Source organism: Homo sapiens, chromosome 2 (assembly GCF_000001405.40).
Source record: "Homo sapiens chromosome 2, GRCh38.p14 Primary Assembly".
In the NCBI taxonomy this organism is placed as follows: domain Eukaryota; kingdom Metazoa; phylum Chordata; class Mammalia; order Primates; family Hominidae; genus Homo; species Homo sapiens.
The window spans coordinates 185,714,490-185,740,627 of record NC_000002.12 but is presented as its reverse complement, the minus strand read 5'-3'; the positions used below and the strand labels follow the sequence as shown (position 1 = coordinate 185,740,627).

Here is a 26,138-nt window from a genome sequence, read left to right as displayed (position 1 = left end):
TTCTAAGCCACCCAGTCTATGGTACATTGTTATAACAGCCTGAACTGTATAAGACATTAAGCAAGTATCAAATACCAAGGGGTTCTATTTATTTCTGATGACATCATAGACATTAGAAGGGTAAGTGGGCCACTTAGAATTCTTTCTTGTAGAACTTTTTGCAAAACTGATAAAAGCAACCAGTCAACAAGAATGTACTAAACCTCCTTCAGCATTGACTACTTAGTCAAAGGCTGGGGAGGTTTGGGGGTAGGTGTGGTGTTAAGGACTAAAAACATGAAAAGGCTTAAGGGAAGTACACACTATAATCCAGTATGATTAACTATGGTTTGTGTAAGTGAGATCACACAAATCAAGGGCAACGTGAACTCTAAGCAAAAATAAGCTAACGGGGGGGCTATCACAGTTCAGAGAATCTTGATAGCTCAGATTCATAGACTGGGGAGAAGAAGACAAGGTATGCCAGGTTTGGGGGCAAAGTTGACAAAATACTGAAGTATTAGCATGGTATTTATGGGTAGGTGTGAAAGACTCAACTTGAAGAAGCTGAGCCTCTCTGGTTGGAGACAATGCTGGATGGAAAGGCTGGGGCAAATTATGGAGTCTCTTCCTCATTGAGGCAGGGCTTTCTTTCATTAAAGTAAGGTTAAAGTACTAAACATATTAACTCATTTTAAGTCCCACTGTTTCAGTTCTTTTTTTTTTCTTTATGTGTAAAATAGAATTCAACTCAAAACAAAATAATGTTTCCCGTGAAGAGAGTTTGGTCCAAGATACTGTCAGTTAAAATCGTAACATATCATTAAATGGCAGCTATCACTAATAACCTTTCAGCTTCTAAACATGTTTCTAAGTACATCAAATCTTACTATATAAGTATATATGAAGTTTTATTATAAGGAATATTAATATGGTACCGTGAATTGTTAATTAAGGACTAAGAATCTAAACTTTCTGGAATATGATTATGTCCAAACCATTAAGATGAAAGTGCTTCATATGCATTCTAAACAATACCTTCGGTCAGATGTGGGATTTTCTTTTTCCTGTAAATGTTGATGCAAATTCCTTTAATGAATTTTGTATGATGCAGCCTTTGAGTTAAACAGCAAGTAGTAAAGGGTAAAGGAAAGAAAGACGATAAAAACTTGTTCACCTTTTCACCGAAATTCGTAGTATAGAATACAGCATTGCTTCCTGGGATCACAGGCAGCTTGACCCCGAGAGGTAGGTCCAGTAGCTGAGCCGGTCCAACCCCTGCAAAGTGGGTTTTGTGCACGCCCTGTCAGACACAATTGGAGAGTTTTGTCTTTCCTTTTAGGCAGTATTAGTTTAGTTTAGACCAATCTACTTCCATTGCAACCAAAGACTCCGAAGAATTATACAATCAGGGTTCGGGGCATCCTGAAGTCCTCCCGTTTTCCCTGGTCACCAGCTCTCCTGGCGTCCCGCGCCTGCCAGTTGCGGCCGGTACAGTCCGAGCCACCGCCACCGCCCCCGGGCGCCGCAAGAGGGCAGCCTCCTGACGGGGGACAGTTGGGAGCCTCGCGACCCGTGTGTGGCGATCCCTGCCCCGCTCCCCAGCAGGCCTGCGGCCGCCAGAGGGCGACGCCGCCCAGCTTGCGGCCACTCACGTCTCTGCACTGCTGGGTGTCCGCGGCCAGGACGCTGGCGACCGTCTTGGTGACGGCGACTTTGGCAGGCTTGGAGCAGGCGCCGAGGTACAGCTCCATGGCCGGCACAGCCCCCTCAGCCCCTTCCTCACCCGCCCCGCTCTCCTTCTCTAGCACCCCGTTGTCCCTCTGTCCGGACCTGACCAGGAATGGCCAGAGCCCAACGACCTCAGCCCCGCCCCCCGCGTTCCAGGCTTCCAATGGTAGCGGCCCCAGAAGGGCGGTGGCCTCCTGAGGGGCGGCTCGCGCCAGCGCGTAGAGCGCCCGCAGAGCTGGGAAAATCGGTCCGAGAGGCCTGATCTGAGAGGACCACAGTTGAAACTTCATCTTTCTCTGAAACCATCACGCCTTAGCCAATCCTAACGAAAACGTATAAGCTTTGTTGGTGGGTAACTGGTTAATTTCCCCTGGCTTCCAAGGAGCCCTGTTCCGTTCAATAAAAATTCCCGAGTGATTGTTTTTGCCCATTCTACATCTTCCCCCATATAGACCACACCCCATCCCCAGGCTCCCACAGCTTCTTCCCACACCAGGTCCACAAGGCAGACGCGTTGGCTTCCTAAGGGGCTCATTGCCTTCCTCCTGCCTCTTCTGTCCCCTAGGTTTCCTTCTCCTTTCTAGCGCCCTTTACCACTCTCCCACTGCCTCCTCTCTGCTCCTGCAGCTTGATCCTATTTCCCTCTTTCTCCTCAACCATCCAGCCGAAATTTATAAAGTGCTTGACGCTTCTGGGCCAGTCATTGAGCTAAGCACTGGGCAGGACACAGCCGTGAGTAAAATATGGCCCCTGACTGTAAGAAGCTAACTAGACTGGGAGTATTCTGAGGGCAGAGACAGTATGTGTCTAACCCACCTGTTGTTTAGACTTAACTTCATACTTTCTTTGGTCCACTGCTGTTCTCTTTTATTTCTGGCCCGACTAGTAATAACAGTTACCATTTCTTCAGAATCTACTAACTTCCATATACTGTGCCAAACACCCTTTTAAACATTTATTTATTTTAGTAGCCTTATCAATAATTACTCTTTATTTTTCAAAGATTGAGGAAGACTGACAATTGCTGTTAAATGGTGGCTCCTGAGGCTGTTTTCTTAATCAGTGCACTCTGCTCTCTTTGTTGTAATTCCACACATGTGCTTAGGACTCTTAAATTTGAAATCTAAGCTTGGGATATAGTCTATTGCCAGCTTCCATATGGATATCCCACAATTGTCTTAAATTCAATCTACTCAAATCTCAACACACAACTTTCACCAAAACAGGAAAAAAAAACAAAGGCTTCTTCCTGCATTTCCTATCTCAGTGACAATACCAAAGTCTACCCAAGCCAGAAACTAAGGAATGCTTCTAGATACTTCTTTTTCCCCTTATCTCCCATGTTTAGTTGGTCCCCAAGTCCCACTAATTTTATCACTAAAATTAATTTGCCCGATTCTATCTACTCCTACTTTACTCTCCCGGTTAAGCCGCTAATCATTTTTTGTTTGTTTGTTTGTTTGCACCATTGCCACAGCCTTATAACATCTCCCTGCCACCATCTACCCCAAAAATCCATCTTGTATCAATTTGATCTTTGATGGCAAACTGACCATTTCTCTTCCTCACTTTAAACTCCCAACTGCCCTCAGCGCAAAGTGTGTAATGGCCTCTGTTACTTGGTCTCTGTATCAGTTTCTTATTGCCAGCAAATCACCACAAACTTAGTGGCTTAAATTACCACAAATATATTACCTTACAGTGATGGAGGTTAGTAATCCAAAGAGAATCTCACTGGGCAGAAACCAGTGTATTGGAAGTGCTGTGTTCTTTCTGGAAGCTCTAGATCACAACCTATGTTCTTGCCCTTTCCAGCTTCTAGAAGTTGCCTCTTCCTCACACGTTAAATCTGGCAATGTAACATCTTCAAACCTCTCTCTGACTCAGACCTCTGCTCCTTCTCTTCTACAATTAAAGAATCATTGTGATTACATTGGGCCCATCTAGGTTATCCATGCTAATTTATCTATCTTAAGATCAGCTGATTAGCAACCTTAATTCCATTAGCAATCTTAATTCCTCTTTGCTATGAAATATTCACATACTCAGTCTTGAAAATGAGGACATAGACATCTTTGGGGTACTATTATACTACCTCTCACAGCCCTGTTTTTGTCCATCTCTGAGACATAACTCCCCTGTACCACCTCTCAGAATTGAACCTCAAATGACACCAAACTGTTTGTGGTTAGTTCTCTACATGGGGCCTGCTTATTCATGCGTGATTCTGCATCTTTGTTTATGCTGTCCCCTCTGCCTGACAGCCCCTTTCAATTCACTGCTTGGCTAATTTCAATCAGCCTTTAAAACAATTCAAGTGTTACACCTCTGGGAAGTCTTTCTGTCTTTCTAAGCTTTTGACAAATTCTCTCCCTTTGTGCTTTCCTCCATCTTAACTTTTTCACATTACAGCAAGAATATCTGTTTACCTGTCAGTCTCCCTTTACTAGAATGTAAATTCTTTTAGAGCAGGGGTTGGTTTATTCGACTTGTATGCACAGCACCTAGCATAGTGCTGAGCAAGCACTTAGTGAGCACTAAGTAAAATTTTGTTTCCTGATCTAGTCAGACATGAATGAGAACCCGCTGAAAAATTTTAAGCTAATTCTTATTCTAGAAGAACACCCTGGCAACAATTTGGAAGGTGGATTTGTGGGGGTGAGAATAAAGATCTGGGAAACTTCATGATTTGTAGACAAGCAGAGAATGGATTTGAGAAAAATTTAAGAAGAAAATTTTCAAAACTTTGAGCTCTTCCTCATCTCACCTACTTTTAAAAGAACAGAGTTGGAGGGAATCATTGCTGTGAGAAGCTGACAGTGGTGGATGACAAGCTTGAATTTCCAGAGGAAATAGGTAAGCCAGAAAAAATGAATTCTCAAAAAAAAAAAGAAAAATCCACATCAAATAGGTGAGTTCTATTTATAAGGAAAGCAAATGGAAAAGAAGAAGTCTACAGTGTAGATAAAATATCTATGACATTTATATGTAAAGGAGAATTTGTTGTATTCTCGGAAAAGTTAGAGGAGTATGTGTCTGAAGTTTTATGAACATTGGGGTCTTTTCGGAGACTTTATTTATTGTCCTTTTCTACATAACAAACCATTTCCAAAATTTAGTGACTTTAAACAATGATTTATTACTCCTCACAGTTCTCTGGGTTTGCTGGTGTTGTCTTGGTTTGCACTTGCTTAGCTAGGGCTAGATCATCTAGGATGGCTTCACTCACATGTCTGGGCTCTCAGACAAAAACAAACAAATAAACTAGAATGATTGAGATGGCTGGATCATTGTCTATATGTATTCTTTTTCATTCTCCAGGAGGTTAGGCAATATGGTTTTACATTTTAGTCTCAAGACTTCCAGCATCAAGAGGGAGTAAACATTAATGTGCTCATGTGCTTCTCAAGTATTTGCTCGCATCACATTTGTTATTGTCTGGCATGGAAGGAAACTAACTACATAAAGATACAGATACACTAAGGCTCCCATCCATAGGGCTCATTGCCTCAGAAATCTGCCAAAGATCACTCTCTAGTCAAATGATTCACATTCCTTCTATATTCAAAACACACTTACCTCTCCTAAGACTACCAAGAGTCTCATTCAGTAATGTGATTAGGCTTAAAAATTTAGTGTTTTGTAATCTATAATTATGTCCATGTACAGCTATTTGAATACTGCCTGTATGAATTCAAAGACCTATGAACTAAAAAACAAGTTGGGTTAATAATCTATGTATGAAAAAGCAATTTATCCAAAACCTTAGGCTTAAAGCAACATTAATTGCTTATTGTGTCTAGTGGTTTCTCTTTGGGTTTGGAGATTCAGATGAGGCACAGAGGAGACAGTTGGTCTCTGTTCTATGATGTTTGGAACTTCAGCTGGCAGACTTGAAGACTAATAGCTGGAATCAGCTCCTTCTAAAGTTATAGGATAAAATTTTCTCCTTCTGAGTCTTACTTTTGAGATCTATTAGAGAAGATCAGAAGACACCTCAGTTTAGGGTTAATTATTGCTTTATTCTCCAAACTCTACCCAGTGACTCATCCATCAGAAACTTTTCCAACCTAGCTGGTGGGAACAGGTAATGTTTACAGCTGTTTGTGAAAGCCCAGCACTATCTCTTTTGAGTGAATATTTTCCATGGCATATGGTAGTTTTCTCACAGTATTCTGACAAATATGCAGGAAATACTCAAAGATAATTCTCTGCACATCTTGAAAGTTCTCGTTCCATGCAGCTGTCCTCTTTCTACTTTTCTTTTGCATGCTCTAGCTCTATCTGCCTTCCTGGGCTCTGGGTTCTGTCTTCTGAACTCAGGGAGTCAGATGGGATCCATCTGGATTCTCCTTCCCTCTGCTGTGGTTTGAAAGTTCTTTCAAGTTTTATCAATATGCCTCGCCTCTTTTGTTTATTGTTTTTCAGAGATCATTGACCATTCCCTGATCTAGTGTCTTGAAAATTGTTGCTTCCTATATTCTGTTTATTTTTTAGCTGTTTCAGGGCATATCTTCTCCATGTTACTCTGTCTTAAGAGGAAATACAACTCAATTTTACTTGTGATAATCGATGTAGAGTTTTTAATTCTTTAGACAACAATTACTTTATTTGGGGAAAATCCCGCATATATGAATGTTGGTAGATGTTCAATCCCACTTTTTACTGAAATTAAGACGGGTCACATATTTTCATTTGGCATGCCTTGGAGGAGGGTCAAGGGCATGTGACTTTGTATTCTGAAAAGGAATTAATTCAAAGATTCTTGTAGGCTAAGGACCATGAAGTCAGGGTTAATGTCTGGTCACAGCACAAGCAACAATATTTTAATCCAATGACATCTGTGGTTTTATATTGTGTTTCCATTTTCCTCAACTTGGATTATTTCAGACTTTCTTACATATTCTCTGAGCTTTCTCAAATCTTTTCTGTCTAGGTTAGCCAGGCTGGTTTTCTATTATTTGCAACCCAAAGCCCTAGCTTATATAATAATCACTATACTCGCAGGTTTTCTTCATTTTTATTTATCATTTCTTAATGTAACTATATAAGCAGAATATTTAAATGTTTGGGTTTTACCACCTCCTTATGTCAAATTGAGAAATAAAATACAAGATCTTTAGGATCCTGTGTTGGTCAGGATTTTCAAGCAAAACAGAACCAACAGGGGATATGTGTTTATGTGTGTTAGTGTGTGTGTGTATCTTCCTCTATATATATACAGAGAGCTATCTACATATGCCAGTAGCCCAGCAAGCTGAGAAAGAGTTGCTGTTTGAATCCAAAGGCAGTCTGTTGGCAGAATTTCTTGGTTGGGGGAAATTAGTACTTGTTATGTTAAGCCCTGCAACTGATTGGATGAGACCCACTCATATTATGGAGGGCAATCTACTTGACTCAATGCCCACTGTTTTAAACGTTAATCTCATCCAGAAAACACCCTCGTAGAAACATTCCAAATGTTAGACCAAATATCTGGGTGCTGGATCTCAGCCACAATGATATGTAGAATTAAACATCACAGATCCCCATTTTTTGTCTATTTCATTAAGCTGAGCTAATTTCTGAATCTAAAAAATAGAAATGATCGTTTTAGTTTAGAAAAAGCATTCCAATTTAAGTTATACTCTTTAAAACACAATAGTTAATTAATGAACTCTTACGTGGATTCAATCTAGCCATAAACTTTTCTATTTATTTTAATTTGTATGTAGTTATATATACTTCCTTAATTTCTTGAATATGTAAGAGTTCATTTGATTATTTTTGCTTTCATCTAATATTTGACATATATTCTTAATAATGCCACCTTTTAATTAATATTTGGTTGACTGATATCTCACAATAACCTTATCTCTTTTTTTCTAAGCAAGGTATTTTTAAATTAAAAATAAAAAGTAAACTTTTGTTGAAAATTACTTGTCTTGTCTACTTTATCTTATATTGTCCAGCTTCAATAATTTAATCTGATAGTTTAAAATAATTAATATTAATAAATTCATCAGAAAGTAGACATAATAAAATGTTTTGATAATACATTGCAGTGATCATAATTCATTTAACAGTTAAAAAGGTAGCCTGCCCATAAAGCATATCTAAAATTGCTAGTAAAAGTAGCTAGTATATTGTAATGTAATAGAATTACTCATAATACAATAGACTGAAACTAAGAAACTTGAGGAATTGACATTAACATTCTAAAATGACAGAAAGTTTCAAAGATTTTAAAGGATTTTTTCCAGAAATGTACAGTAATGATTACAATGTGAAATCTAAAAAAAGCCTGAGAAATAAACAGGAAAAGAAGAATAGATATATAAATCTATAGTAATTAAGGCTGAATGTTAACTAGATTAAGGTTCAATGCTATCAAGTTGGTATATGCAGATATAGTAAAGGGCATATTAACATAAATTCCACACAGAAAGGTAAACACCACATTAGAAGAGTGTATGAGTTTCTTAGAGCTCCTGTAACAAAGTACCACAAGCTGGGTATCTGAAAATAACTGAAATTTATTCCCTCACAGTTCTGGAGATTAGAAGTCCAAAATCCAGGTATTGACAAGGCCATGGTCTCTCTGAAGGCTCTCTTGAAGAATCTTTTCTTATTTCTTCCCTGCTTTTGGTGATTGCTGGCAATCCTTGGCATTTCTTATATCACTCCAATCTCCGCTTCTGTCTTCACATGGCTGCTTCTCTGTGTGTGTGTCCATGTGTCCACATTTATCATCTCTTACAGGGATACCAATCATAGGATTAGAGCTCATATTAATCCAATATGGCCTTATTTTGGCCAGATTACATATGTAAATAGTCTATTTCCAAATAACTTCACATTTTGAGGTTCTGAGTGGACATGAATTTTATGAGTACCCATTTAACTAAGGACAAAGGGTGAGAGAACATCTTGCTGATGAGGTAAGACTGGTATATTGGCATGTCATTAAATACTTTGTTAAGGATATCAATTTGACAGAGGGCTCAAGAGTCTGTCTAGTAACAACAAAAATATAGATATCAGAATCTTCATGATGTATGTCAGTTTCTAAAGGATTCCAGAATCTGCAGAAGAGCAGATGGAATGAAACCACCAAGCCTCGTTTAATTGATTCACTAAGAGTACTTATTTTTTTTTTATTTTTGGAAAATAACTTCTTTGATGATGTTTTATGTATTTTTCAAATAATTATCACTGTTAAGAAAGAGAAAATGAAAACTTACATTAAAAATATAGTTAGGAACCACACAGTACCTTTTGATAATATGAGGTATATATCTTTGCCAACATCTCAGTCTTTAAAGTACTTTGCATTATACTTTGCATTGCTTTGTAATATATTTATCTTAGTGGTGTTGAAAAACTGATACTTAACACAGATTTCTGACCTGTTAAATAGTTCAGACCTTAAATAAAGGGCCCAGATTAAATATTGGTTGGAAAACTTACTCATCTATTCTCTCTCTCTCTGTCTCTTCTGTCTCTCTATGCACACACATACACACACACACACACAAGTGAAATATAAAATAAAGTCATGCTAAATACATTTTTAGTTTAAGCTTAAAATGTAAGGTAATGAGACATATACCACATCATAAGTGGAGAAAATTTCTTGGTAGTAAGAGACATTAAGAATATATAGTGCAATTTTAATAGCACAGACTCAGGTGTAAGATTGCCCGTGTTTAAACCCTATTTATTTCAACTCTTTGCTTTTTTTCTCATCTCTAAAATTATCATATCTTATGATATCATTGATTGGGCAGCATCAATACAGACAATGATTTATAGTGATCAGTCTGCCCCATCTCTATGTAGTCCTGATCATTGTACCATGTTATCTAGCTTAAAATCACAGAAAGACATTGAGGGGCTGGACTTTCTGTTTTTTATAGCTTTTTTTCATTTTAATTATTGGAATAAATTGCTCTTACAATCTCAGCCACTGTTACATATGTTAGGTGTTTGGGGGAAAAAGTTTGAAAAATAGCTAGAAAATATTATCCAGCAAAATGAGTATTTTTGTTTTATTAATCAAATGGCTGCAGTTTGTTTTTAAAATTTGTCACATATCCAAAATTATTATAAAACAAGTCTTCCTGCTTATTAACTTTATATATAAGTGAAGAGTAAGCAATTTACTGTTATATAATCAATTTCCAGTAAAACTATGTTAATACAAATAATAATATCTCCCACTTATTCCTCAATAAGTCTACTGTAGTTAAGAAGCCTTTAAAGCGGTTTCAAATTATCCCTGCCTTGTGATATTTATACTCTTATGTAACCTCAAACATTTAAAAGGGAACTGGACCTAGTGACTAGCTTCTAACAAATATAATATGGCAAAGGTGATGACTTTCAAAATGTTGCTTTCATCTTGCCCACCTTATTCTACTCTCTCATTTACTTACTATAAATGAAGCCAGCTGCCAGGTTATAAGCTATCTAAGGAGAAGTCCATATGGCAAGGAACTGGGACAGGCCTCTAGCCTACAACCAGGGATGAACATGAGTCCTTTGTCCAGCAGCCTTTGAGGAAGTGAATTCTGCCTACCTTCATGTGATGGGGCTAGGAATCAAATCCTCTCTTAGTTCAGCCTTCAGATGAGACCTCAGCCCTGGCCAACAGTTTGTTCACAGCCTTGTAAGACACTTTGAGCCAGATGCACACAGCTAGGCTATGCCCAGACTCCTGAGATGCAAAAACTGTGAGATACTAAATGTTTGCTGTTTTGAGTGGCTAGGTTTTAGAACAATTCATTTTATAGCAAGGGATAACTATCTTTACAATGTATCATTCATTGTTGCAGTCAGCTGACAAAGTATGTGATCCTTTCATTAACACTGTGAGACAGTTATTACAATCTCTATTTTTCAAAGAGGAACTTTGGGTTGGAAGAAATTAAATAATTTGCCTGTTATCATAAAGCTTTGAAATGGGCTGTGTTACAAGGGATCGTTCTTAACCAACAAACAGTTCTCCTTTCTCCTCATGATTTTTTAAAGTAAAATTATTTCTTACACCTTAAATCTTGAAAACTATGTATATGTTTGCTTCTCATGTTGGATTTCACCAGCATATAATTATAAAAAATAACAGAAAACCAACGTTAAAACCATCACATGGGCAGAGCTTCATCATCCATACTCTGCACGATGACCCTGACAAAGCCTGGCAGAGGCATGAGGGGCAAGTTATGAAAGGGTTGATATAACAATTTCTTTTCTTGATTCTATATCACATGTTAAAGATATAATCATTAAACTATTTTATGCACTTCAATAATCCACTGATTCCATTTGCCAATTTATTATCAAAATTTATCATTATTTTCATCTATTTTAGCAATCTTCTGTGATGAACAAAGAATTACATAAACTACATTGTATATGAAATACTAATTACTAATTTCTTATTCTAGTGTAAATTCTAGTGTAAATATATTTGATTATATCATGTAATTATATTTTCAGCATGTCTGTGAAACTCACCCATGCCATCTGGAAAGGAAAAAGTTAAGTTGCATTTCTGCAATACATTCTCTCCCTTCCCTGAGCTGCTCCTGGAATATAAAGAAAGCAAGTGAGTTGAACTAATCCTCTTATAAACATACTAATGATAAATCTCCCAGTAAAACAACAACAATAACAATAAAGGTCTTCTGCTAACAAAAGAGTCTTTTCCTATGTGAAGTTTTAGTAGAATGTGCTTAATTGTCTAGAATTATTTATAGTAAGCAAACAGAAGTATATGGACTTACGCATAATGGCTCCTTGGAAAATGTTATATTATATATGTAACTCTTTCTGTAGAAAATATCTGTCTCCTTTCATGAAAGTGAGGTGCCTGCATACCTCATAGAAAGCTTATCTGTTCACTTGGGCCAGAAATGTCTTTGATATTGTGTGATAGGACTTAGAGAACTGAAATAAACACAGACATTCTGACCTCACCTTTCCTTACCTGTGCCTCATGATTCCATGTGACTTTGAAATTGTTAGTAAAACTTGATACTGGATAAGATCTCTGAGTGCATAAGTCTGAATTATCAGTCTGATCCTTTCTGTTATTTTAAATTCCAAGAAGTATTGATTTGTATGATAGCTTTTCTTAAACTTCATCGTTCTATCAGTTGGTTTAATCATTTTAGTAGCCCTTGGGGGCACAAAAGGCACATTCTATATTAGTAAAATAATACACATGTGGGCAAAAATCTACACAGTAAAAAGAAAAATAATTCACTCTTTCATTCTAGATTCTGATACTCTCAACCCAGAAGCAAAAACATTAGTTTGTGTATTATTTTACACATGCAAAAATATCTTATAAAATATTAAGTTTTCAGAGTTCCACTTGGTACATTTTTAACTGAGCAATGTATTTTGAAGATCATTACATGTAAGCACACTAGGATTTAATTTAGTTTTTAACCATATGGATGTGGTATTTAATGCTGTAATTACCAAAATTTATTCAGCTAGTCTTCTATTTATGAATGTTCAATTTTTTACATTACAAATATTCTACAATAAGCATCCTTTTAGATAGATTGCTGGATTAAAAGGTATACCCATTTCTACTGGTTTTTTTCCTTAGAGGTATTGCCATGCTTTCCTCAAAGCAGTTACAATAATTTATCCTCCCGGAAATGGACATCTGAGAAGCTATATGCCTGCAATTAGTGTTCTCTTTCTATACTAGATAGACCCTTTTCATAGATTGTGGTCTCACCTAATGGCTAAAACGATTTTTTCTCTATATATAATTTTCTTTTGTTTCAGAGATAACAGAGATTCCTCTCTCCTTTCCCCCAATTTTTACTCTCCATTTTTTATTAAAGAAACTTGTACTTTGTCACCTTTAAGCAAAGTCCATAGATAATTTTCAGTTTTTGTTGTTGTTGTTGTTGTTTTTGAGATGAGTCTCGCTCTGTTGCCCAGGCTGCAGTGCAATGGTGCGATCTTGGCTCACTGCAACCTCTGCTGCCTGGCTTCTGGCAATTCTCCTGCCTCAGCCTTCCGAGTAGCTGAGATTACAGGCGCCTGCCACGGCACCCGGCTAATTTTTGTATTTTTAGTAGACACGGGGTTTCACCGTGTTACCCAGGGTGGTCTCGATCTCCTGACCTTGTGATCCACCCACCTTGGCCTCCCAAAGTGCTGGGATTACAGGCGTGAGCCGCGCCCGGCCTCAGTTATTTTTAAAAATATAGGTTTAGGTGATGAGTAAAAAGGCCAAAAGTAGTGAGTAAAATGGACCACGTTACTTATTATGGACTCAACTGTAAAATTTTATAGTTTTTGAATCTTTTACAAATCAAACAAAGTTTAAAAATCACAATACACATTATATATATATTATATATAATATTTGGTATAAAAATGTACCACAAATTGAAAACAAGTTTGTACTTGTCAGCTTAACTATGCACAAGAGATTTAACCCAGTAGGCCGGACACCACTATTTTTCAGAAAAACCTACTTGCTGCATCCATGTCCCTACAAAGGACATGAAATCATTCTTTTTTATGGCTGCATAGCATTCCATGGTGTATATGTGCCACATTTTCCTTATCCAGTCTATCATTGATGGGAATTTGGGTTGGTTGCAAGTCTTTGCTATTGTAAATAGTGCTGCAACAAACATACGTGTGTATGTGTCTCAGCAAACTAACACAGTAACAGAAAACCAAACACCGCATGTTCTCACTCATAAGCGGGAGTTGAACAATGAGAACACATGGACACAGGGAGGGGAGCATCACACACTGGGGCTTGTCAGAGGTTGGGGGCAAGGGGAGGGAGAGCATTAGGACAAATACCTAATGCATGCAAGGCTTAAAACCTAGATGACAGGTTGATATGTGCAGCAAACCACCATGGCACATGTATACCTATGTAACAAACCTGCACGTTCTGCACATGTATCCCAGAACTTAATGTATAATAATAAGAAGAAGAAAAAGAAAAACCTACTTGCAGGGTTCACACTTGGCTGGCACCTGGGAATTTGGCAATCAAACCATTCACAAACTGATAACACTAGTTCATTGTCCCTGTATGGTTTGTGAAAACAATGCGGTTTATGCTGAATGCCTGCCTTCTTTCTAGGAGTTTGGTATTTTGATATGTGCTAGAAGCACGTGCTTACAAGATCAGCCCCCATAAAAACCCTTGACTCTGTTATGGGATGAATTATGTCCCCCAAATTTTATATGTTGAAATTGTAATGCCAAGTACCTCAGGATATGACAGTATTTGTAGATAGGGACTTTTAAATGGCAATTAAGTTAAAATGAGGTCATGAGGGTGGGCTCTAATCCAATATGACTGGTGTTGTTACAACAAGGGGAGATTAGGACAGACGTACACATAGGGAAAACCTGCCAACACCTTAATTTCAGTTTGATAGCCTCCAAAATTGTGAGAAAATAAGTTTTTGATGTGTAAACCATCCACCATGCAGCAATTTGTTATGGCAACCCTAGGAAACTAATAAAGGCTCTGAGTGTCTAATGGGCTTTGTGGAAGACACATTGCATACATTTTACTGCACTTTTCACCGCCAATGAAAGGAGCATGCTAGGTGGTCTTCTAAGAGGAGGGGGAGAACATTCTAAGACTGTGTATGGATTTCTCCAGACTCCTTCCTTTGCTGATCCTGTTGTGTATTCTTATGCTGTAATAAATCTTAGAAGTGAATACAACTTTATATGGAGTTCCATGTGTCCTAGGAATCACCAGAGGTGTGGGTGGTCTTGGAGATTCCAGAAACACTGATCCCGCCAATATAATATTTCAATAAATAGTTCTGAAACTTAGAGACTTTTATTATTTGGCTAACAAATACTCTATTTAGGTGAAATCCTGCATATATGAATTGTCAGTAGGCATTCAGTGCCCCTTTTAACTGAAGATGAAATTTGGTGTATTGTTGTACTTCTCTGTCTTGTTTTATCTGGCTCATCACAACAATATGAAAAATCTTTAAAGAAGATTTTAATCTTTCTTGTTAGTGCATTCTTCAATAACTAGAACAGTGCCCACTAATTACTATTAAGTAGAAAGGACTCATTAGTAGGTATTCAATAAATGCCACTTCAGCAAATGAGTAAACACATTGATTATTTATTTTGGGGTCACTGTTTAAATGGACATTGCCCATGTATTTACAGTAGGGTATCTCCAGTTTTCTTTTCTTCCTTTCTTCCTTTTTTTGTGGGGGAAGGAGGGCATTCATTTATGAGCATTGATTCTTCTAATTGACACTGCCCTCTTTTAGATAACATCCCACATTTTTAGCTTCTAAATTGCTGTTTTCATGTTCAATGTTAAGAACATGAGCTATAGAATAGTAAAAATGTGTTAAGGCTTGCTATTGATCTACTTCTCTCATTCATTTATCTACTTAATGGTATGTACATCATAAATTTGTAGTAATAACTTTGTTACATACTTTACAGAAGATTTTGTGATTGTTCAGCCTTCAAGCACAGATGCTTATAAAATCTGTCAGTATCCACAAATTAATCATAGTATAGGGATTACAGATCTTCATGAAGAGAAAGTTATTTTGTTAAACGGAGGATCTCAAACTGTTAGGAATTTGTGATATTAACTGAGTGAGTCAAGTGTAATTTTTTTTTTTTAGATAAAGAAAGGCAGATTTGCTAGAGAAAGTAGAGAAATATGTTGTGAGGAGGCAATGGGCAGGATCAGCAGAAGAGAAGCTTATGCCAAGGGTAATATTTTTTAAAGTAAAGCAAATGAGAAAAGAACAGAATAGGGTCTTTCAGATTTAGTAAGAGTATTAACTTATGCAAATTTATTTTCATTATAGATATATAATTTACATACTTTGCTTATATAAATATGTCATGTGTGTATTATGAGTTTAAGGAGGGAAAGTTTGAAAGTGACACAAGATGATTGATTACGAGTATTTATATTTCAATAAAATATTATAAAATGTGAAAACCCTTCAAAATATTAGAACAGAAATTACTATTGAACATCACTCAATTGAACATTTTTATTTTATAAGTAATAATACAGGGGCTCAGTAAAATGAAATTATCTTCTAAAATTATAAATTAGATTAGTGGGAGATTTAATATTAAAACTCAAGTCTTCTATCAGTTTTCCATCAAATCATACAGCTATGAAAATATAATGCTAACTGTCCAAGCATGTAACTTTGGATCTGTTCTATTTAGTAAACTGAAACTGGCATTGAGTTTAGATTATTTTTTAAGCAAACACATTTGTTACATTATGTGCAATAACCACAAAAAAGAAACTGTTCTCCAATTTTAAAGAATAAATATTCATTTAAATAGGATGCCTCTAATTGTGGTTATATAATTTTACTTTTTATCCTTATTATAATGAATTAAGATAATTTTTTTTGTTAACGTTGGAATAATTGTTCATGTAGTTGGTGTTATAACTATTCTAATATGTATCCAGAACAAGCACCAATTAAAAATATTATTGCATCCTTATCATCTTCTGCCAGCTGGTTGTTCATATTAACATTGCAGGGGATCACAGTGTTATTTTAGGAAACTGCTTATCAAGTTATCGGTTTTTGTTGGTGTTATTTGGTTGAATTTTTTCACCTAATTAGCGAACAGTTTGAGAAAAGCTTTATCTTTAGTATGGTTTCAAAAGTAATGAAGGTGGGAATAATAAAGACCTTTGGAGGCATTCTACAGAAGAAAACTTCATAAACAAACAAAAAACTTTCCATTCTTCCCTCCCTTATTTGTGGCTTTTCTTTCTGAATTCTCCCTTGTCTGATATGAGTAACTGACTTCTATTATATTATATTTGTGTATGTTTGTCACATTATTCCCTATTTCTCTATTTTAAATCCTTCTTAATCACTTTGTTTTAGATGTGTTTCTTACATACAGAAAACTGTTGGGTTTTGTTTTGTGGGTGATTTGAAATTTTTTTTTATATGTAACAAATTAACCCATTTTCACTTAACATAAATATGTTGTATGTTACTTACTGTAATTATTTTATGTCATATTTACTAAGTTTCACTAGGTGTCTATCTCCTCTTGGTTAACTGTGTTAAGGGTCTTAGTTGACTTATAAATATTTCTTTTAAATTTATTTCAGATCTTTATACAAAAAGTAGTGAAGTTATTTTCAGCTACTGACTCATAGAAGGTGCTCATAATATTTTCATTTTGGCTCAGGAATTGCATACTGAAAACAGAGTAATTTTTCAAAATTCTAGCCAAATATAAAAGACCATCAGAACTATCAGAACTATTGTTTCTTGCTGTGATTTTGAAGATACAAAATATAATGTTTTATTTAAGTGAGAAAATTCAGATAATGTTTGTAATTCACGGATTAAATTATTCCATCTGTCCTGATTTACAAAGGTGCCTCATTTCAAATATGATCTTATTATTCTCTAATAGGTTTAATATTGTGAACATGTTTTAGATTTGCTTTCATTTTAAATTTATCATGTTTTACTTTGCATAACCTTGATAATCACTGTAACCATTATTTTTGCAGGTACTTAATTATGTGAAAATAATTACGTCCTTCTTTAAGGGATCTAGCATCTTCTTCATTAAATTATGTCTTTCTCTAATGCAACTTAAAACCACAATGAGATACCACCTTAACGCAGCCAAAATGGCCATGATTAAAAAGTAAAAAAAAATTAGATGTTGGCATGGATGTGGTGAAAAGGGACTGCTTATACAATGCTGAGAATGTAAAGTAGTACAACTTCTATGAAAAACAGTATGAATATTTATAAAGAAATAAAAGTAGATCTACCATTCGATCCAGCAATCCTACTACTGGGTATCTACCCAAAGAAAAAGTCATCATTATATCAAAAAAACACCTGCACACATATATTTATTACAGCCCAGTTCAGAATTGCAAACATATGGGACCAACCTAAGTGTCCAACAGCTGATAAATGGATAAAGAAGATGCGATATATACATTTTATATATATATATATAATATATATATTATATATATGTGTGTAATACGGGATACTACTCAACCATAAAAAATAATAAAATAATATCTATTGCACAATTTGGATAGAGCTGGAGGCCATTATCCTAAGTGGAGTAACTAGGGAATGGAAAACCAAATACTGTATGTTCTCACTTATAAGTGGGAGCTAAGCTTTGGGTATGCAAAGGCATGTGGAGTGGTACAATGGATATTGGAGACTTAGAAGTAGGGAGGGTGGGAGTTTTGGAAAAAACCACATTAAAACTGCACTAAAATCTTAGACTTCATCACTATACAATTCATCCATGTAACTAAGACCCACTTGTACCTCAAAAGCTATTTAAATAAAAAAATATATATACTAAAATTATGTCCTTCCTCAATATGACCCAGCCTCAAGGGGACCCAGCCTCCTTTTCAATCAAGAGATTCTTGGTATGTAAACTGCTCAAGAATGGAAACAATTAAGGGGCCATGAGTCTGTTTTGGTGACAGGTTATATTTCTGTTCGGTAGATCCAGAACTTCTCATTTACACGATCAAAAAAGAATTTAAGAGACTGCCATCTATATTTTTTTCTAGGGAAGCCAATGGTTAACTAGCCAACACCATACATCTCTGTGAGTCAATCTATTCTGATCACAGTTTTGCATCTCCTGTCTGTTACAGTAATCATGCTTGCCTTGTGTTTAGTAATTAAGTGCCACCACTTGCACCACGCCACTTAGGATCCTATTATCCTCATTGCATTTAGAGATTCCTGTTTTATTGCAGCAGTTACCATTGTAATTTCTGACCTACAGCAAAGAGTGACTACAGAGCTCTTCAAGGATGCTGGGATTCCCCTCACAAATTTGAGAGGATGAGAAGATATGAGCAATAATGAGGAAAAAATTTAATATTTTTATTAAAACTTATAGTCTGTGAGGGTTTTTATAACACATCTGTATTTTATAATATCTGAATTTAAACATCTCAGCACTTTCAAAAACAAGCAAGTCATGTATACTTAGCACTAAATATATTTATAGTTCAGAATTTAATGTGCTATTTTTACATATTCTAGAGAATCAACAAGGTTTTTGTGTGGGTGGAAAAGCATAGCTCTCCATATGTATTATATAATTATATTTGAATGGGAAACAAAGAAGAGCAGAAGTCCTTATATCATATAAAACAGATTTTAAATCACTGAAAACTTTTTAAACTTCTTGACTTTTTTCTAATAACACAGCTTAAAACCCAAACACATTGTACAGCTGTACAAAAACATTTGCTTTATGTCCTTATTCTATAAGCTTTTTTCTATATTTAACATTTTAATTTTTTTTTTTTATAAAACTTTTGTGTTAAAAACCAAGACACAAACACGCATGTTAGCCTAGGACTGCTCAGGATCAGGATCATCAATATCACTGTCTTCCACCTCCATATCTTGTCCCACTGGAAGGTCTTTAAGGGCAATCACACATGAAGCTGTCATCTCCTAGTATAATAATGCCTTCTTCTAGAACACCTCATGAAAGAACTGTTTGAGAATGTTTTGCAGTTAACACCTTTCTTTTATAGTTCAAGGAGTACACTTTTAAATAATGATAAAATTATAGCATAGTAAATACAGAAACCAGTAACATAGTTATTAATTATCATTGAGAAGTATTATGTACTGTACATAATTGTATGTACTATGCTTTTATTCGATTGGCAGTACAATAGGTTCATTTACACCGGCACTACCAAAAACACGTGAGTAATGAGTTGCGATATGACTTAGGATGGTTACCGCATCACTAGGTGATAGGATTTTTTTAGCTTCATTATAATCTTATAGGGCTACCATCATATATGTAGTTTATTATTAGTGAAAACATCATCATGTGGTGCATGACTATGTATAATTTTATGTACCACTTGCTGTGAATTATCATTAATTTTTGTGATGAGCACTGAAGCAGGAAATAAAAATTGAGTTTGGCTGAGCATGGTGGCACGCGCCTGTAGTCCCAGCAATCCAGGAGGCTGAGACAGGAGGATCCCTTGAGCCCAGGAGTTTTAGTCCAGCCTCAGCAACATGACAAGACCCGCATTTGAAATAATAATAATAATAGTAATATTAATTGAGGTTGTAAGATATTCAAAAGGCAACAGCCTTAAAATCACCTTATACTCTGTTCTTTTTTAGGGAAATATTTACTGGGCCTTCAGCTTTCTGTACTACTTCGGAACAGCACTAGCATCTATCTCAGGGTTTAAAATATGGAAGTTCTTGCCTTCCTTGAATCTTTTCTCCCAGAAATAACATATTGGCTCTCTTCCCTGTGACATGCCTCATCTGACATTGGCTGGCTTTCATATAAAACCTTTGTTTTAGCCTACTATCAATTCAACTTTTACATTGACAAAACGTAATTTTTGGTTGTCAATGTAAAAGTTGACATTTTTACATTCAACTTTAATTTAAATGCTGAATTTAAATTTAAATGCTGAAAATTTATTTAAACACTTAAAATGATATTAGAAGAGGTATTTTATGTTTTTAAACAGAGATATATTTCATTTTTATATGCAGTCAACAGATCACATGTGTATGTCTCTTATGTGTTCCTGTGTGGGAATAGCTTGAATTACTACATAAGTTCTCTGAGAATATTAAGTTCATTTAGGGGAACAGGACATATCTATATGAAAAACAGAAATAATACTACAAACAAAAGAGAGATCACGAGATAACATGTAATTAATTCTCAGTGAATGACATGTCATGAAATCATCAGAAGAGATGAGGATATGGGAAAAGCTTTATGAAAGTAGTCAGAACCATAAGGAAGATTCGGTTTTGTTAAACAGAAAGACCTTTTTCCATTGTGGTATTAAGTTTAATATGATTTTCATTGTATTAAAATACTAATGCAGTAAGTTGAAAATATAATTGCATTCTTTTCATTTAATCTATTGTAAAATATATAATCAAAATGATATACTTGTAAAATAATTACATATATAATAAAATCAATATACCTGTAAAAGAATCACAATTTAAGATTTATTTATTATTTAAGTTTAATAATGTATATTATTTCTAAAACCTGGATTAGCTGTGCCAACATTAATACATAAGATATAAAGCCCATTTTATATGAAAATGGAAACAAGAAATATGATTTTGAAATTGATTTTAATCATAGGCTAAACAAAGATTCATAGGCTAAACAAAGATTCATAAAAGATTAATTTGAATAAAAATTTAAGACATATTTATTCTTGTTGCCATATACGTACAAATGTAAAATATTTTATCTCCTCAAATCTTTTCTTTTTGCAGATGGAAATCATTTTTCATATTGTACTTATTTTATGTGCACCCATTTTGTTCCCCATTCTCTCTCCAGAATTATTTAAATTCTGAATTTTAAAATTAAATTAAAATTAAAGTTTCCACTTACTTTGATCTAAAATATTAAATTATCATGCACATTTAAAAAGTTTCTAAACATGTAGTAATTTTTTTTTCTTTTTTTACTTACACTAGTTTAAGTCATATTTGAGCATTCAAAATACAAGATTTCACTAATCCTACCCATGTGGAAGGATTCAGTAACTGTGGTAAGCTTAGGCAAAACAAATGTTCGGAGTTCATTTCTCCAACAAACATTTAGTACATTGTAAACATAATACTCTTTTCTCCAGTCCCCCAACCTGAGTCAGATATCCTCCTTTAAAATTTCTTACTTGACTGAGAGGTAAAAGAGTTGCAGAAATGAATAGGATTGCTGGACTAGTTGGACTCATGGAATAGTTGCCTACAGCAGATACAAGGCAAGTGCCCCAATACATTTGATACTGGTTCAGAGAAAATATGAAAGAAATTTTAAAGGAAATGTTAGATTAAAAAATACAGGGATGAGGAACTCCAAATTCTATGTATAAATTCTGATAAAATCTCTAGCTGACTCTAAAACCATGTGAGGCCAAGTCTAGGCAGCACAGATCAACCTCATTAGTCATCAGGGAAACACAAATAAAACTACAATAGATTACTACTACACATCCATCAGAATGGCTGCAGCAAAAAAGACTGTCAACCACAAATGTTGACAGAAACATTGAATAACATGGCCTATCATACATGGTTGAAGATAAAATGTTAAAACCACTTTAGAAGAAAATCTGGGAGTTGTTTTCCCCTTTTTAAGTAAAAATGAACAATCTGTGACATAGCCTTCTCCTCCTCAGCTTTATTCAAAAGACATGAAAACTTGTTTTCAAAAAAGAAGTGTGATGTTCATACCAACTTTAACAATAGTCAAAGAAAGTGAACAGCCCAAGTGTCCTTCAAAAGGAGAATTGTTAAACAAATGTGATAATTCATACCATGTACTCCTACTCAGCAATGAAAGTGAACAAATTAGTGATACACAAAACAGCATGGATAAATTTTTTAAAAAATTATTGGTGAAATAAGCCTTGTCCAGAGTGCATGCTGCATGATTTCATTTATATGAATTTGTGGAACAGATGAAACTAATGCTTATCGGAAAAAAAGTCATAATAATGATTGCCTTTGAAGGGGTGTGAATAACAATTGAGTGGGAAGTGAGATTAAGGCAATATCTGAGGTGACAATAGTTGTCTCTATCTTGATAAGATTCGAGTTAGGAATATTCATTCGTTAAAACTCAGCCAGTGTACACCTAGAATTTGTTCATTTTATTGTATGTCACTATTATATTAACCAACAAAACAAAAAACTTGAACAAATATTAAACTCTGTCTATATCACTGTATTCAGAGGTTTATGTACTGATATTTGCATTTACAGGAAACGATAAAATAAATTAATAGTAAAGCTGGCTAAAGTAAGAAACCAAAGAAAGAAAAATTATAGACAGGAAAATGTATAACCATTTAATTCAAAAGCTTAATGAAGCTTGCTATGTCAGCTCCGAACAGAAAAAAAAGAGTAAGGTTTTCAGATTGATGGAGAATAATAAATAGCAATCAAATAATAACCAAATATTACACAATTTGAATAATTTACTAAAATATATCATGAGGCTTTTAAATTTGGCACAACTTTAGAATACTAGAAAAGTCTATATAGAAAGCAAATTATGGTTTTGTAAATTCTCATAATGTAGCAGACTAATGGATTTTAAAAATTGCAGATACAGATAGGGGATTGTACAGCTCAGATCTGTAAGGAAGGGCTCTGGAATAGACAGAATGTGATATGTCTAGAGGAGAAAAAGAACCAGGGAAATTAGTTTATCTGGATTCTGATTTCACATCAGCTTTAGATTTCTTGAAGAAGGAGAGTGTTTTAGGATTACTGATTTTACATATGTCATCAGATAGAAGACAGATATATTGGAGTAAACTCTCAAAGAGTTTTTCCAAGAGAACAGAGTATATATGAAATTGATTGCTTTGTACACTTTGGAAAGCATAAGCTATTGATAAAAAGAGATTCTATTGTTGCGATTGTACTGAGGAACAGAGAAAGAAATTATAGAAGGAATCTTTTGACTTTTGGCAAACTCTGTAATTGCATTCCTAATTTCTGATGTCCCCCTTCTTCTTTACTACCAGCAATTGGTAGAGAGAAGTAGTACTCACCTACTCAGCCTCTCCTGCAGCTACTATGGCCATTTTATCACAGTTGTGGATGAAGATGCGTAAAATATCCTTAGAAGTCTGATTCTGGGGAAAACTCTGGTGAGGTACTATGCAAGACAACCACCCCAAGGCACATAATCATCACACTCACCAAGGTCAAAACAAAAGGAAACTCTAAAAGGCAGCTAGAGAAAAGGGTCAAGCCACATACAGAGGAAACCTCATTAGGGAAGCAACAGACCTCTCAGCAGAAACCTTAGAAGCCAGGAGAGGTTGGGGGCCAATTTTCAGTGTCATTAAAGAAAAAAAAATTCCAACCAACAATTTTATATTCCATCAATCTAAGCTTCTTAAGGGAAGAAGAAATAAAATTCTCAGACAAGTGAACATTGAGGGAATACATTTCAACTAGACCAGATTTATAAGAGGTTTTTAAGAGAGTGCTAAACATGGAACTAAACGAATGACACCTGCTACCATAGAACACACTTAAGCACATAGCCCAAGGTACTATAAAGCAATCATATAATCAGGCCTACATAATAACCACCTAACAACACAATGTCAGGATCAAAATCTCACATATCAAAATTAATTCAGAATGTAAATAAGCTAAACACATCACTTAAAAGACATAGAGTACCATTCTGAATACAAAGATAAGACTCAACTATCTGCTGTCTTCAAGAGATCCATCTTGCATATAACAACAACCAAGGCTCAAAGTAAAGGCATACAGTAGAGACCTACCATGCAAATGGTACCCAAAGAAGAGCAGAAGTCACTGTTCTTATATCATATAAAACAGATTTTAAATCACTGAAAAGAAGGACAAAGACAGACATTAGATAATGATAAAAGGTACAATCCAACAAGAAGTCTTAACTCTACTAAATATATACACATCCAATAGTGGTGCACCATATTCATAAAATAACTTCTAAGTCTAAAAAAGGACTTAGAGAACCACAATAACTCTGGGAAACTTCAACAACTCACTGACGGTGTTAGCCAGATTATTGAGTCAGAAAACTAAGAAAATTCTGGAATTAAACTTGACACTTGACCAAATAGACCTAATAGACGTCAACAGAACACTCCATGCAACAACCACAGAATGTACATCTTTCTTATTTCCGCATGGAGCACATTCTAAGATTGACCACATGCTTGGTCATAAAGCAAGCTCGATCAATTAATACAAATTGAAATTATACCAAACACACTCTTGGACAATAGTGCAATAAAAATAGAAACCAATATGAAGAAGATCTCTCAAAACTACATAAATTAATGAAAATTAAACAACTTGCTGCTGAATAACTCCTAAGCGAACATCAAAAATAAGGCAGAAATTTAAAAATTCTTTGTAATTAATGAAACTTGGTTCACAACTTACCAAAACCTCTGGGATGCAGTTAAAGCAGTGCTAAGAGGAGAGTTTACAGAACTAAATACCTTTATCAAGAAGTTAGATTTCAAATTAGCAATCTAACTTTGCACCTAAAGGAGTTAGAAATAAAAAACAAACCATCCCCAATGCTAGCAAAATAAAAGAAATAACTAAAAGTAGAGAGGAACTTAATGAAGTTCAAATCCAAAAACCGTACAAAAAATCGGGCTGGGCACGGTGGCTCATGCCTGTAATTTTAAAATCAATGAAACTGAGTTCGTTCTTCAGAAACTATATAAAAAGATTGATAGACCACCAGCTAGGTTAACAGAGGAAAAACAAGAAGGTCCAAATAAGTATAGTCAGAAATGCTAAAGATGACTTTACAACTGATCCCACAAAAATAGAAAATATCCTCAGAGAATACTATGAACAATTCTATGTACACAAATTAGAAAATCTAGAGGAAATGAATAAATTCCTGGAAATGCACAATCTACTGAGATTGAATCAGGAAGAGATTGAAAACCTGAATAGACCAATAAAATTTAGATGGAACCAAAAAACACGCCAAATAGCCACAGCAATTGTAAGCAAAAAGAATAAAGCCAGAGGCATCACACTAACCAACTTCAAACTATACTATAAAGCGACCATAACCAAAACAACTTGGGACTGGTACAAAAACAGACACATAGACCAATGGAAAGGAATAGAAAACTCAGAAATAAAGCTACACATTTACAACCATCTGACTTTCAACAAGATCAACAAAAATAAGCAATGGGTAAAGGCATCTCTATTCAATAAATGGTGCAGTGATAACTGGCTAACCATATGCAGAGAATGAAACTAGACTGCTATCTTTCACTATACACGAAAACTAACTCAAGAAGGATTCCAGACTTAAATGTAAACACTAAAGCTATAAAAACTCTAGAAGAAAACCCAAGAAATATCTCTCTCGACATCAACCCTGGCAAAGATTTCAAGACAAAGACACCAAAGGCAACTGTAACAAAACCAAAAATTGACAAGTAAGACCTAATTAAATTACAGAGCTTCTGCACAGCAAAAGAAACAATCAATAAACAAACAACTTACAAAATGGGAGAAAATATTTGCAAACTGCATCTAAGAGAAATCTAACATCTGTAAGAAATTTAAACAAATCAAAAAGAGAACAACAAATAACCCCATTAAAAATGGGCAAAAGACATAAACAGACCCTTCTCAAAAGAAGACATACAAGGCCAGGTGTGGTGGCTCATGTCTGTAATCCCAGCGCTTTGGGAAGTCAAGGTGGACAGATCACTTGAGGCCAGGAGTTCGAGACCAGCCTGGCCAATATGATGAAACCCTGTCTCTACTAAAAATGCAAAAAGTAGCCAGGTGGGGTGACAC

General features: G+C 35.3%; 1 protein-coding gene and 1 long non-coding RNA gene across 10 annotated transcripts in view, besides 1 other annotated feature; one reads left to right on the top strand and one right to left on the bottom strand.

Moving 5' to 3' along the window:
• The window catches only part of FSIP2 (fibrous sheath interacting protein 2), a 96,157-nt gene extending 92,663 nt beyond the window's left edge, over positions 1 to 3,494 (bottom strand). For 5 of the 6 annotated variants that reach the window (XM_047444329.1, XM_047444331.1, NM_173651.4 and 2 more), the window contains exons 1-2: positions 1,635 to 1,824; positions 1,157 to 1,282 (exon numbers count right to left, since the gene is read on the bottom strand). In XM_047444329.1, the coding sequence (XP_047300285.1) occupies positions 1,157 to 1,282; positions 1,635 to 1,733 (225 nt within the window). In that variant the 5' untranslated portion in view covers positions 1,734 to 1,824. Of the gene's footprint in view, positions 1 to 1,156; positions 1,283 to 1,634; positions 1,825 to 3,405 lie in introns of those variants that run through there. The other variant, XM_047444333.1, reaches the window with a different exon arrangement.
• FSIP2-AS2 (FSIP2 antisense RNA 2) lies at positions 151 to 20,754 on the top strand. Of its 4 annotated transcripts, none has more exons than NR_110214.1 (4): positions 1,535 to 1,721; positions 4,491 to 4,566; positions 11,191 to 11,299; positions 19,908 to 20,754. It is a non-coding gene; the product is annotated as an FSIP2 antisense RNA 2 (long non-coding RNA). The 4 variants fall into 4 exon arrangements; NR_110215.1 differs by lacking the exon at positions 1,535 to 1,721 and adding an exon at positions 1,909 to 2,058 and having other exon boundaries at positions 4,496 to 4,566; NR_110216.1 differs by lacking the exon at positions 1,535 to 1,721 and adding an exon at positions 1,909 to 2,058.
• Positions 1,423 to 1,692: a silencer, noted in NCBI's record as "silent region_12166". NCBI's record gives its function as "represses an Ori minimal core promoter by ATAC-STARR-seq in GM12878 lymphoblastoid cells {active_cell/tissue: GM12878}" and the evidence as "EXISTENCE:reporter gene assay evidence [ECO:0000049][PMID:35858748]".
• Positions 20,755 to 26,138: the final 5,384 nt, after the last annotated feature.